Source organism: Homo sapiens, chromosome 4 (assembly GCF_000001405.40).
Source record: "Homo sapiens chromosome 4, GRCh38.p14 Primary Assembly".
In the NCBI taxonomy this organism is placed as follows: Eukaryota; Metazoa; Chordata; class Mammalia; order Primates; family Hominidae; genus Homo; species Homo sapiens.
Window position 1 is genome coordinate 81892002 of NC_000004.12, and position 15047 is coordinate 81907048.

General features: G+C 39.0%; 1 annotated feature.

Annotated features, from left to right (window-relative positions):
- Positions 1230-1428: a silencer, noted in NCBI's record as "fragment chr4:82814384-82814582 (GRCh37/hg19 assembly coordinates)". NCBI's record gives its function as "represses an EF-1alpha promoter that drives an FKBP-Casp9 reporter gene in an ReSE screen in phorbol 12-myristate 13-acetate-treated (for megakaryocytic differentiation) K562 erythroleukemia cells {active_cell/tissue: K562(+PMA)}" and the evidence as "EXISTENCE:reporter gene assay evidence [ECO:0000049][PMID:32094911]".

Here is a 15047-nt window from a genome sequence, read left to right on the forward strand (position 1 = left end):
GTCTCCTAACCTGTAAAATCAAAGTAACGGCATCTTCCTTACAGGGTTATTATGATAATTAAATAACATAATGTATGTAAGGCACTTCCAAGCACAGACCTTGCCATGTAAAATAAGTACTCAGTATCATCAACTATCCTCTTTGACCATCTATAATCTGGTTCCTGTTTGTATCAATCCCATAAACCTCTCTCTCTCAGGAAATACTTCAGTATCCTCTTCCCATCATAATCCTGCCATTTGACTCTTCTCCTATTCCCTCTGTTGCTTTTAACCATGATGTGTCAGTTTACATGACACCAGAATATCGAGCACTCTTTCCACAGGTCAAGATTGTACTTGGGACTTTTGTGCAAAAATTCAGAGTACTACAGATCACTTGGAAAATTCACTACAACCTTCCATCGTATTCTAACCTTGATGCGATCTGAAAGTATAAATTCGTATGAAAATAAGGGAAGAAATCCCCAGTCTATCAATGATGGGGGAAAATATGCTGCAATGTCATTTTCAGCCATAATCAACCACTTCCATTGTTTCCCACCTGCCCTCACAAATTTAAGGAAAAGGCATATTTTCATCAGATTTGTATATCAGCTTTCAGCAGATACAAAATTTAAGAGGAAAAAAATGTCTTTCTACACAGCAATTTACTTAGCCATCACCAATTATTGCCCATCATAATTAAAATGATGATTACCAGATTTTCAGTTTCAAGACAGTATATATTTCCAGCATCTCTCATTTCATTTCATTTCAAGACAGAGTCTTGCTCTGTTGCCCAGGTTGGAGTGTAGTGGCATGATCATGGCTCTCCATAGCCTCGATCTTCTAGGCGCAAGCGATCTTCCCACCTCAGCCTCCTGAGTAACTGGGACGACAGGTGCACACCATCACACCCAGCTAATTTTAAATTTTTTGTGGAGACAGGATCTCTCTATGGTTCCCAAGTTGGCCTCAAACTTCTGGGCTCCAGCAATCCTCCTGCCTGGGTTCCCCAAAGTGCTGGGACTTCAGGTATGAGCCACTGCACCCAGCCCAACCTCTCTCATCTTAAACATCACCCAAACACTTAAGGAAAAAAGAATCAGAAATAGAAAGTCAACCTTCATCCGTTTTGGAGACAGTTTTAACTGTGAACTAAATCATAAGATGGCAGAAAGCAATAGAGAAGTAGATGGGTCACCAGAGAGAAGCCGGGACACAGCTAAGTGCTTCCAAAGGGAGGCACTGATGAGAAGTGAATTGGAAATGCTCACAGAATCCAGACAGGCTAGGAGCACAAGTGCCTCTGAAGGTGGGAAGAGGCTGGGTCTGGCTACTGCTTCCTTAGCCCAGCTGGAGGAGGTAAGGATCCAGACTCAGAGACAAGAGGTAGAAGGTCAAGTGGAGGTTAGACATACGAGAGAAAACAGGGAGATGAAATGAAAGTCGCAGACTGCACAGAATGAACCCCCAGATGATTGGAGGAAACTTCTCTAGCAAAACTAAACCACCTTCAGCCAAAATACTACAGATTCTGACATTTGAAGGTCCCTGCTGAAAAAGCCATGTCATCCTAATGGCCCTGCGGTGAAGCCCGCAAGTTGAAAAGTCCAATGAATAAACACAAAACTTCCCCTCAGCTTTCCAAAGATTTTCTCTTGAATATGAATAGACAGCCAAGGATTCCAGGCATGTGGGGAAAGTCTGCAATATTAAAGTGAAACAAGCAAATCAATAATTGAGAAAATAAAAGAAACTCACAAGAAACAGATACAATGCAGGAAGAAAAGAAAACTTCAAAGACACTCTAATCAGAAGTCTCAGGAGTTCTGACACTTTTCTCCCCAACAGGCCTAGGGATAGACACACTCTTGGCACCTGTCCCCTCCTGCATGGAGGAGGTATTAGCACGTCTACTGGAAAAGGAAAAAAGTAGGAAGTTTAAAAGTAATTTTTTTAAAACTCACATCCATGAAATTAAAACATGATGCTATAAAAAAATTTTTAGTGAAGTTATTTTAGATACAGACTTTAAAATAGCACTAAAATTTAAAAATAAGAAACAGTAAAAAGGCAATAAGATTAGGTCAAGGAATTCACCAGAAAGTAGAACAAAATGACAAAGAGATAGAAAATAGCGCAGAAAACTTAGGAAAGTTAGAGATTCAATCCAACCAATAGGAGTTCCAGAAAGAGAGAACAGAGAAATCATCGATGGAGAAATTCTGAAATAAACAAACCAAGGAAATTTACAGAACTGAAAGACATGAATTTCTGGCTTAAAAGATACAGCAAATGAATGAAATGTAACCCATACTGAGGATAGCATTGTGAAATTCAAGATTATCAGAGATAAAGGGATCTTAAAGGTTTCCAGCAAGGAAAAACAGGTCACAGGCAAAGGATCTGGAATAAGAAAAACAACCATCTTCTTGAAAGCAACATTACAAGCTAGAAGTCAGTGTAGACATATCTTCAAAATTCTGAGAGAAAATTATTTGCAACCAAGGATTCTCAATTTAGCCAAACTATTAATCAGGTATAAAGGTAGAATAAATATTCTTTTTCAAACATTGAAGTCTCAGAACACTTACCTCCCATGACTTCTCAGGAAGCTACAGGAGGATGAATACATAAACTGAAAAAAAAAAAAAAAAAAAAAAAAAAATGGCATGACATCCCAGACACAAGAAAGAGAAGCAAAGTGAATTAGGCAAAGTCCAGTTCTGTAACAGGCCCCAGGAGAACCCAATCTAGGGTGAAAGAGAATAGCTGAAGGATATGGATGTCTCAAAAAAAATGGATATGATAGATTATTTGACAGATTTGATTATGAGAAAAATTTTAAGACATTTGACAAAGCTGTTGTGGGGTATGGGAAGAGTTGGGCCAGAAATCTGAAGGCAGTGAAGCAGATTTTAAAAATGAACAAGGCAGTTGTTAAATCCAGGAAAACAGAAGGTTATAAAATAAAGCTATGTAATCATAGCCTACTATTTGGCTCAGCAATAAATAACATTTACCTAGTAAAAACAAAAAAAAAAACACCCATGAATATGGATGTAACCAAATATTATAAAATAACTATATTTAAAGGATATAGGAGGTGAGGGGATAGGGTATGAAACTAAAGGAAGTCATAGAACAAGAAAAGGGCTGTAAGCAGTTCACTACTGTTGGAGAATGGCCTTGAGTTGGGGCAGGGGAGAAGGTGACTGCTCTTTTTGTATATATGTCTTTTAGTACTTTTTGACTTTTATAACCATGTGCATGCCTCTGTGTGATAAAATTGTAAGTTAAAAAAGAGATAAAATTACAATACAGTTAACCTTGTACCATTTCTTTTCCGCTACTTAAATATGTCTAAACTGCACTGGAGAAATTTTTTAAAACCCTCTCCATTGGAACTAAGCTACGGATTTGTATTAAGCTTATTTCATTTAAAAGATTTCATTATAAATTATTAATTCCTCCCCCTCACCTACCCTTTCACTTACAAATTACCAAAATGCAAAGCTCTTTGCAGCCATCTTTCTTTTTTATGTCATTATTATTCACTCATGACTCTAGGTGTTTAGAAGTGACTCCGAATACAGAATATCTTTAAGACAGAGGATCACAGAAAACACATATGAGATCTCCTTCCTCTTATTCCATTCCCCATTGCTAAATCAGGAAAGAAATGTTGGAATTTGTCCAGAACTATCTACCATATGACCTTAAAACTTTCAGCAGTGATGGTTCTCATTTTTATCATACTATCATTAGGATTAATTATACATGCTAAGGGCTGTAATAAATAAATACTGAGAGCTAGCAATTTGCTAGGTGTCATGGCTAACATGAAGTTAGAAAGGATTCTCCCAAGAATTTATCAGAACGACAAAAAAGAAGCAAAGGTTAAATCAGGGGTTTTGAACTACTTTTCTCCCCAACATGGCTAAGGAATAGAGCACTCTCCATGACTTAGAGGCTCACCAGTCACCTCCCCTTACCCAAGGGGGGTATAATATCCACTCTTCTAGTGGAAGAAGAGAGGTGAGTAGCTTGAAAAAACCCCGCAGGTAATTACAGCAGGCCCTCTGTCCTGCTGCCCCCCACTCATGGATGTGTTTCCTCTGCTACCCTTCCCTCTGCATTTTGCTCCTCTCATCCAACTGAGATAACTCATTTAGGGATCAAATTAAGAAGAAGATATGTGTCACCATGGGGCAGAAGATAAGAGCTCAGAGCAACTTGGACATAGAACATTTTACAACTTGCCTCCACCACCTCGTGCCAAGACTGATATTGAGACTGTGGAATGATTACAAAGAGAGGGACTGTAGCCTGCAGGAGACAACTTCTGACAGCTGTCCCATCATCAGCCCAGACACAGGACTCCCATTTCCCTTCCCCAGCCCAGATCCAAGAAGGGATTCAGCACATTCTCACACACTCTCTCTCTCCCTCACCCTTCCCATACCTGCTTCCTAAATATACTTGAGTGCTTTGGTTAATGGGTAAAACAGTAATAATAACAGCCAACATTGACTGGACTCTATTACAACTCAACATTCTGTGAAACAAAACTTCACACGTCATTTGAGATTTTGTCCATAATATTTAGATATATAAAGAACATAAACGTAAGGTGGAAGGTTTTCCAACACTTTCACAGATTCGTGTTCTAGCCTAAGGTAAATCATACACAATTTCATGTGACTTTTTGTTTTTTCACCTGGTAACCAAAAAGAGCAAAGGGACACTCAGATAAGTCTCTGGGCCCCCATCCTACAGGCCCCTTCTCACCCTTTACCCTCAATGATTCCATCAGAACGACTCTGACTTTTAGACCGCGTTAACTTTCACTGTAAGACTGCATCTGAAACACATTTGAAAATGGCAGGTAAGGCTCCTTCTAACTCCAGCAAGACCTTCACTCCAACACTGCCTTGTCAACCAGTCACACCTCGGTTTAATATTTCCACTATGTTGACTGTATGTGTATGGTCTATACACATACATCTATGTTAGCGATGTCTCTCTGCTCTGATTCCTTAGAATATAATACAGGGCACTGCCATCTGGCCTGGTTCAACCTTTCTCCGCACATTCTACTTATCTAATTATCTCCACCCCAACCCACAACACACCCTTCGCATTAGTCACTAAAGCACCTGGCATTAGCTCATCATTCCAGGTGACTTCATGTCTCTATAGCTTTGCTGATGCTGTTTTTTCTACTCAGCACGCCTTCTGTCTACCTATGTCCATTTTGAAAACTCGTATTCATCTTTTAATGGTCAACCCAAATACCACCTCCTATATGAAGACTTTTCTGATTTCTCTTGGCAGGATTAATTACTCTTGTTTTTGTATGCTCTGTATTGAAATAATCAATTACAAAATATAGTTCACTGCTTATATATCTACTTCCTATGCTACTTTAGATTCAGTGAGTATGTGGGAAGGTTTGTTACATGGGTATATTGCATGATGCTGAGGTTTGAGGTCACTACCTGAGGTCCCATCACCAAGGTAGTGAGCATAGTACCAATAGGTAGTTTTCAGCCCTTGTCCCCCCTTCCTCCTCCTCTCCCCCCTTCTGCCAGCCCCCAGTGTCTATTGTTCCCATCTTCATGTCCATGAGTACCCAATGTTTAGTTCCCACTTAAAAGTGAGAATATGAAGTATTCGATTTTGTTTCTACCTTAATTCACTTAGGATAATCGTCTCCAGCTGCAAAGCACATTTATGAGTGATAGTCAAAGTAGTTCTTATTACCAACTCCCTGACATTTTTATTTTTAAAACAGATAAGGAAACTGAGGCTTGGAGGGGTTACATTTCCTGTCTGGTACCAAAAACTTTGTAAGTGATAGAGACACGACACTGTGTTTTTTGGTATCTACAGCAGATGCTGTGGCTGTCTCACACATCTCTCCTTTATTAGGTCAGTTTATCCATCTGTCAGCAACTTGTGGGTGTTCCTGCTAGGAGCTCATAGCTGCACCTTTCTCCAGAGAATTGCCCTCCATGTTAATGCTTGGGGGATTATATACATTTACCCCAGGGGCCTCCCACAGTGAATGACCGACTGATACAGGGGTACCAAAGCCCAGCCACTTTGGTGACATTCAAGCTCCGATGTTTCCTGTGCAATCAGGCTGAGACTAGACTTCAGCTGAAACACATCTTTGCTTATCTTGGATCCCTCCCCATCCTATTCCCTCACTTCCTTACAAGTCCTTCCCTCAATAAATGACTTGCACATCCCTGTCTCTATCAAACCTAACCTTGGATAAGAACTATGTTTTGTGATTCCAAGTCCAGTGGCTTTCCCACTGCAGAACGCTGTGTGGCTAAGGAAATGTGGAAGATGCTAGATACTAGTCCCTTTCTTATCAATGCTGGTAACTGATCCAGGATATACATTTTTCCTCTATCTCAGAAAAATCATGTAAACTTATTTCTCAGTCTATCTTACGGTTATATCTGTCTCAAATAAGGACAATGATGTTATGCTGTTATATATAATCTTTTAAGTATTTCAATTAGTATTTTGTAGTGGGATCATTTTATTTCACATTAGATCCCTTGCTAACTATAAAAATGTTATAAATCCAAAGTGTATATTAAAGAAACTCAAAGGTCTATGAAATTAATGTCTCATTTTATAGCAGCATGTAAAATAATTCATCAGCTCAGAAAGAGCTGCCTACAAAATGATATCATCATTATCTTCTAAGTTTTCCCATATTATTCTCTTCCTTCAGGCCTAAAATTAGGTAAATTTTATAAACTTTAATTTTCCAAAAATTCTCATGAAAACCACAGTTCATTCTGTTAGCAAGTATCCCTGGGAAATGATACCTGTATCAGCCAAGATCTAAGCAGGAAATCAAAAACCACTTTAAATCTAAAACAGAAACTTTAACAACAGAGAATTGGTGGCACAGGCAATGCGAGAGCTGCTGAGAGCCAAACAGGAAAGTGAGGCAGCCCAGACACTAGCAGCAGCAGAAAGCCACTACCCACCTCCCCAAGCTACAGGCATAAAGGGAGATGGCAGACATTCGGATCACCTGGAGGAAGCTGGGGGCCCTGGCTTCTCCCAACCTCCAACCTTCCAGAACCTTCCATTGGTTGATTCCTGCCAGAAATCAACTGACAAGGAGGAGCATGAGAATCAATCTAACCTGCAAGGTTTGATCCTACTGTTATAGGGGGCAGAGCAAAGGAAAGGAAAGGCAGGCATGTGCAGGCAAACAGGACTAGGATTAGCACATTGCCGTGGTGCAATTGCAAGAAAGAGCATCAGAAACAATAAAAGGCCCCCATCTGAGAAGCAGCACACGTAGAGCTCATTGCCTGGAATTCTACCACCACAGAACAAAACAAAGGGGAGCCTTGTCTTTGATTTTGCAGCTAATGAAATTATAAATCAAAACCACAGGGAAAGCCTTCCTACTCAGGTTTGTAGCAGCACTTATGTGTATTTCAGGAAACCTCACTAGCATCATTAGGATCAGTTTGACGAACAGTCTAGGCAGCTTTTCAAAAAAGTATATTTCCTATCAGGCGGAAGAAAAACTTATCCAGTTTTTTTGTCACTGTGTTCTTTTTCTTGTCAGCTAACCTCTAAGCCCTTCTTTAAAAACGTAAATATTTGCTGCCTATCTGCTATGGTAGGCTTATTTAAGGGATTACTAATTTTAAAAATATGTTTCTACATTTTTGGGTGAAAATCATAGTGTGAACACTACATATTATAATTAATGCTTGCAATGATACTCCTCATTAAAATAAAAGAGAGTTGATTCAAGCATCAATCTTTGAAGCAAAATATTAAATTTAGTAGAGAAAAGTCTATTGTGAAAACTGGAAATGTACTCATTAGCAAAATGAATCTAATGCTTTTTCAAATTATTAATTTTTACCTGTTTTTATTTCATAGGTAATATCAGAAACTGAAGTATAATTAGAAACTGTGTTATGAACAATCAGGATTTGTGGAAAGCAGAAAACTTGAAAAATACAGAAACTGTCATAATCCCACCAGCACAAATACTGTTAGCATATTCATGTTCTAGTCACAAATCATTTATTGACATCACCAAATGAGCTAAGTCTGGTGCATAGTCTTAATTTGATTTTAAGTCTAAATTGAAATCTCAGTTGTTGATAGCACATGGGAGCCATGGGGAAGAGAAGCAAGAAAAATAACACATTTGCTACTCTTCCCACCATACTTCAGTGACACAAGAGTCTGGGTCCAAGGAAACCTACCACTTCTGCGGATGCCATCTACCGTAAATCAACTGTCTGGTTTCCAGTAGAGATTCCTATCTCCAATCAGAATCATACTTCACAACCTCCCTCAGTAGCGTCCTAAGAGGAAGACATCCCTACAGGAGTGAGAACTAAAGTTCCATTAAAGAACCTTTTTCTCACCTTCTTATTTTAGTTCTACTGCCTTGTCCTTAAGAAGGTTTGAATCTAACAAAATTAGACTTTTACTTTTAAAAGGGGAAAGACCCAAAGGGGTCCCTCAAAACCAAGAATCTGTGTCACATAATTTAGTGTCAAATAATTCCATAATGTTTTACTATTCTATATTTTTACATGCATATTTTTTCTCATCAAGATTGTAAACAAGGTGGCCAAGGTCATGTTTCATATTTCCCTGTTATCTACCCCAATCCCACCCACCAAGCACCCAGTACATGCTCAATAGACACCTTCGATATGAGTAACTCTGATTTCAAAATAAAACCCAAATTATTGCATACACATTATAAATGACACTCTGCAACACACTTCACCAGATGTTTACATGGCTTTCTCACTGACTTTACCCAGGCCCATGCTCACATATCAGACCCCTGGAGAGACCTCCTTCGGCTGTGTATCAGAGAACCCCCCACCATTTTCTAGCCCTTACCTTGCTTTCTTTCTCTTCATAATACTGTGGCTACCTGCTACAGTGTTGAACACATTCGCCACTGGAATGTGAGATCCACAGAGGCAAAGCCCTCGTCTTTCTTATTCACTATCATACTCCATGCCTAGATCTGAACCTGGTTCATAGTGACACTCAAGTAAGCATGGAGCATATCAGTATGTGAACGAATGAAATTTGTTATTACACATGAAAAATTATATTTAAAAACATAAAAGCAAAGAATTGGCCTAGAAAATATTTAAAATACCATTAAAACCTTTATTTTTTTTCTTTAAATTTTATACATGAAGGCCAAATAAGTTAGAACCCACTAATTAACAATTGTAAAAAGTTCAAATAATACAAACGCATAAAGCAAACCCAGGCAACCTGAAGAGTTTGGGGCATAGTCTGAAAATTTTCTCTATGTACATACAAATATAACAAATAATAACTAATGGGTAAAAAATTGTAAACATCTAATCCTTTTAAAGGTAACCCTTTGAAACTTAATATTTTGTAAACATCAAGGATTCTAAGTACAAGAATCCTTTATTTTTTAATCTATAAATTTTAAATATTTACTCTTTGGGTCTCAGTTTCTTCATTATAAAATGAGGATAAATAATAACTCACAGGATTGATATAGAAGATAAATGACAAAATATATCTAGAATGCTTAGCATAGTGTTTGCACACAGAAAAAACAAAGTAGGTAAAAGATAAAAGATACATAAGTCTAGATATCAATGAAAACCCAAGAGGAGGACCTATCCATGAAGTGGAGGTGAAAGATGCTGCTTGGAAGATACGGCACTTGAGATGAGTTTTGAAGGACCACTGGGCATCAGTCAAACTCAGGAACTGGGAGCTGAAGGTCATTTTAGGCTGAAGGAAGAACAACTTCCTCATACAAGAATTTTAGCAGCTGGCATCCTTGGGGAAGGAACCATGTTTGTGGAAAACATCTTAAAGGGCTGCTCTGCAAAGGCAAGGCAAAGCCACAAGGCCATTGTCTGCAAGAAGACCTCAAAAAAAGGTGGAAGCTAAATTGCTTGGCATGAGATATAAACCAAAAACTGCAAGTGGGTGAGAGTCGAGAAGAGAGAGGACATAAGAGCGTGAAAACAGAAGACTTGATAGGCAACAGAAGGAAAACCCTAATAATTTTTTGAGTCTAGAATCAAGCTCTGTTTTACATATAATTACAAAGTATTTTTGCACACTTTGAATACATAACGAATTTTCCAGGAAGGAAGCGATCATATAAATTTTATAAAGACTGTACTTTGATAGTTTGGAATTTTCCAAGAGTTGATGGCTGTATTAGTATCCTTTTGTTGCCGTAAGAAATTACCACAAACATAGGGGCTTCAAACAACACAAATTTATTTTCTTATAATTTTAGAGATCAGAAGTCTAAAGTGACCCACTGGGCTGTGGTCCTTCAGGAAGTTTTAAGGATAACCCCTTCTCTTGCCTTTTCTAGCTTCTAGTGGCTGCTGGCATTCACTGGCTCATGGCCCTGGATCACTCCAGCCTCTGTTTCTGTTGTTGTATTTCCTTCTCTGACTCTAATTCTCCTGCCTCTCTCTTACAAGGACCCTTGTGATTACATTTGGCCCACCAGACAATGCAGTATAACCTCCCTATCTGAAGATCCTTAACTTAATCATATCTGAAAAGTACCTTTTGCCATGTAAGGCAATGTATTCACAGGTTCCAATGTTTGGGACATGGACATTTTTGGAGAAACCATTATTCTGCTTGCCACAGTCACCTTTTCGGGCAACCATGAAAAGTACCTTTCTCCATGTAAGGGTATGTATTCACAGGTTCCAATGTTTGGGACATGGACATTTTTGGAGAAACCATTATTCTGCTTGCCACAGTCACCTTTTCGGGCAACCACATCATGGAATATAATGGTACTTGTATATTAACCACTCATATTGTTCTGAGTGGCTAATATAAAACACCTTATCAGACTGCATTATTCACAGTTCCAGCTAAAAAAAGGTAAGAATACTTGACAGCCTTATATTTCTCTGGTAGACTCCTGCCCAATAATTGATATTTACTTATTTAATTTCCTGTTATTTTTTCTTGTACAGTTAGAGAATTTTAAAAATTATGCATAAATAGGTTATATTATCCTTACAAGTAATAAAAGAGACATCATTACAAAATGTTAAATATTTATTGCCAAATGGGTTGTTGAATGTGACAGGACTGAGAATCACTGAGTTAGAGAGTTAAATATTATTTTTAATGAGTTAAGTGGTGCTGGAACATCTACCAAATATATTTTAAATCTGGTTATGGCAGTAGCAGCAAGTCTGAAATTAAAGGTAAGTATTCTACAGGAAATATGCCTGTAGACAGATATGCTTCCAGTGTAGTGCAAATGTAACAGAACTTCCTTCTTAGCTCTGAATGCCTTCCCTCTCAGACACTGCCCTCTTCTTGGCCAGCCCTCTCCTCCTCACTCTCTGCTTCAGGCCCTGAAGGCATGGAGAAACTGACAGATAATGAAGCACTCTCAGCTGCAGGAACACAGACAACTGGGCTCTTTACCATTTCATGGAGCATCGCAAAGGAAAAACATGGCTCTGCTGATAAAGGCTCTTACGTTAGTATAATGATGGCTAGGAAGGCAGGTGCCAGGAAAAAAGGGAGGTCAGTGAAAAGACAGGACAACAGGACACCTCAGATGGGGAAGAGGGAGTCCTGAAAGCAGGGATGGGGCCCACTGGGCTCTTCTGGGTTGCAGTAAACACCTTAGGCTATTTCTATTAATATATGGACTGCCAATTTAAAATAATGTTTAAAATTCAAAATGGATGTTTAGGGAAGGACAAGAGATGAACACACAGCAAAGAAGCCAGAAAACAAGCTCGAGTGGCCACAGACATACTCCCAGAGCCTGGAAGGTCATTTCAATACAGCTCTAGTATGAGTTATGTGTATTCTCTTCAGCTGCAGGATGCCACCGTGCTCTCCATTCTGGGCTCACACTTTATGGTGAAACAGTCCATTCCCCATTGCTCTTGCCTCCACCAACCACAGGTTATCTGTTCATTGTTTTGGTCTTTAGGTTCCAGTCTCTCTCTGTGACTACGTATTTCCTGATTCTCGTTCCTTCTCTCCCTGTATCCTTCTCCTCCCTCTCCTCCCTAACATTGCATTGAACAGAAGGCATGAAGTACAAGAAAACCAACAGGCCACATCTGCCCACTAAATTAATTCAGCTCCCTAGAGCCAGTCTATGTATGGCTGCGCTGAGGTCATGAACCTCATAGGTACCATCAGGATAGTGGAGTCACGTTGGCATCCAACGAGTGTGACGATCTAACTGTAGGCTGAGTCAGTCAAGCAGTACTAGACTTTATAGTAAATGGACATGGGTAGGTTCTGTAGTCAAGCTGCTTGGATCCTGGCTCTGTCAATTATTAGCTGTTACCTTGGACAAGTTATTCAATATCTTTAAGCCTCAGTTTTTTTCAGCTGTAAAATGGGGAGGATGGGAAATAACAGAACTTGTTAATAAATTATTTTTGGTGATAACTGAGATTGTTGGCACCCTCTTAAATTCTGTGCCTGCCTCACTCACCTTACCTTAGACCAGTACCTGGTCATGGTTCTGGAGGTTCTGGACCCATCAGTACAGGCAACAGCCTCCCAGAATCCTATCATTTGCATTTTAAAGTCCAGCTTTTCCTTGCTACTTCTTCCTTTTGTGAATATATTAATATTTCTCCCTCCTATTTAATCCCTACATTGGTTGTTTCAGGATTCGGTATTGATGTTTGAGAATATTTTTGGCCTGAAAGATTCATGTTTGGAATAATATATGAACTTGGACTAATGTAATTATGTAGGAAGCCAGCATATTCATGTGTTAACACCTATCCTTAATTTCATTTTAATAGAAAATGATTCTTAGCTTAAATAGAATGTAGAACTGTCATTCTGTAAGTCCAGGGACTCAGAGGAAATGCAAGATTGTATGAAACGGAATTATTTACTAAAAAGTGTTAATGTCACAATGCATTGCAAGAAAATAAATTTAAAACAAAGTATATTTGTTCAAATTAATTTTCTTGGAGCCTAACATGTTTCAAAGAAAATCTGAACCGTAATTAATGAATTTGCTGAATAGAATGTGTTTGCAAGACAGCCCAGGGTTGAGCTCTGCTAAAGCATAAGGACTTCGAACTCCTCAGGGAAAATAGTAGCATAATATCCCACAGATTAGAAGTCAAAGACTTCAGTGCTACTAGGGGCCAGGAAGGCAGTGAAAGGCATGAGCTGGAGTGTATCAGGAATACAACAGGGAAAGGTGAAGACTGTGATTAACTGCAGGTGCCTTTCCCTGTTTAGAGTGGGCAGGGGCCCCTCATCATGGTTGATTGTTGGCATTTGGAAATCCATGCTAACTTTTCAGATACTCCAATTTTTCAAAACAAGCCAGAAAGCCAGGTACTTATGTGAAAACACTCATATTTAAAAATATTGGCTCAGTATTTTTTAAAATCACTCAAATGGGCAAAATAAAACATAACTGAATTGTGTTTTTTTTTTTTTTAGATTGGGTCTCACTCTGTCACCTAGGCTAGAGTGCAGTGGCATGATCATAGCTTACTGTAACCTCTAACTCTTGGGCTTAAGCAATCCTCCCACCTCGGCCTCTCAAGTAGCTAGGACTATAGCTGCAACACCATGCCCAACTAATTTTTTAAATTTTGTTGTAGAAATGGGGTCTTGCTATGTTGCCCAGGCTAATCTCGAACTCCTGGCCTCAAGCAATCTTCCCACCTTGGCTACCCAAAGTGCTAGGATTACAAATGTGAGCTACTGCACCTGGCCTGATTTTCTAATCTCTGCATAGAGAATGATATTTGTTATAAGAAGTGGGGGAAATGAGATGGATTTTCATTCTTTATTTCTTAAATCTTACCTTGAGCATTTCTGAAGAATTGAAGATTTTAATTTATTTATGAAAACTTTTGTTTTAGTTAACCTAAAATAAAGGCTACATAGAGACACAAAACCAAAATTTTGACCTCATAACAGTCTGACCAGCTTTTCTGAGTTGTGCCATGGGTTTTCCAGTTGGTAGTCCCTTCAAGAAGGGAAGAAATTGCATCACATTTGGACGGCTTTACAGCTCCTTTCTGACATTTCCCAGCAAAACCTCATCTAGGCCCCACCTCTGACAGTGACTGTCATTCTGAAAAACTGGGTTTAACTCACAGGCTAGAAATGCACTCTAGAGGACGAGCTTGAATAAACCTGCTGAAACTCAGGAAACCACAGGGGAACTGGAAAGTGACCATGTTTAATATTTAACAAAGTGAGTTGTACTCTGAGGCACTATTATTTTTCCTTTGCTCCAGAAATACAAGGTGAATGCTTTAAGCAATCCAGCTTGGGCCTTACTTCCAACACAATTTACAAGAATACACTTGCTCTTTGCTGAAGAGGGCTCCTAAAGCCACTGGCCTACACCATTCCTGAAGCCCACTCTTCTAAGTTTGAGATGCTTGACTGTAACGTAAGCAAATCTGAACATGCAGTCTATCTTTGGGATGTCTCAGGATGTTTGAAAATTAAGGGAGAGAAGATGGAAATGAAGGAGACCCTTGACCGGAGCCAGTGGGATATGGGGGGAGTACACACCTTGGTAAGACTTAGATTGCTCTCCACCAAGGCAAGGGAAGAGAAAAAGGATAAGACAAAAAGTGAAATGACTTCAATTCCCATTTAACAAATGCCATCACATTAAAAATCTATGGCACATTGGACCCCATAAATATATACAATTATTATTTGTCAATTAAAAACAAATTTTTTACAAAATCCGTGATACACTCTCAAAGCCTCAGACCCAGGCTCATATTCTCCAAATGCTATTCAATAGAACACAAGTTCAAGAAGAGTAAAAGCACTGGACAGCCTGTCCCCTGGAGCTCATAGCGATAGAATTTGACCTACATTGCTAAAATGCCAAGTTTGTCCTTCTGGATCTTTTTATGGATAAAATTCAGAGAAGAGATGACTATAAAAGTTAGTGTCAGTGTGTTTAACAAATAGCCTTTGATCTTTTGAATAATACTTGCCTCAAAAACTTCCCT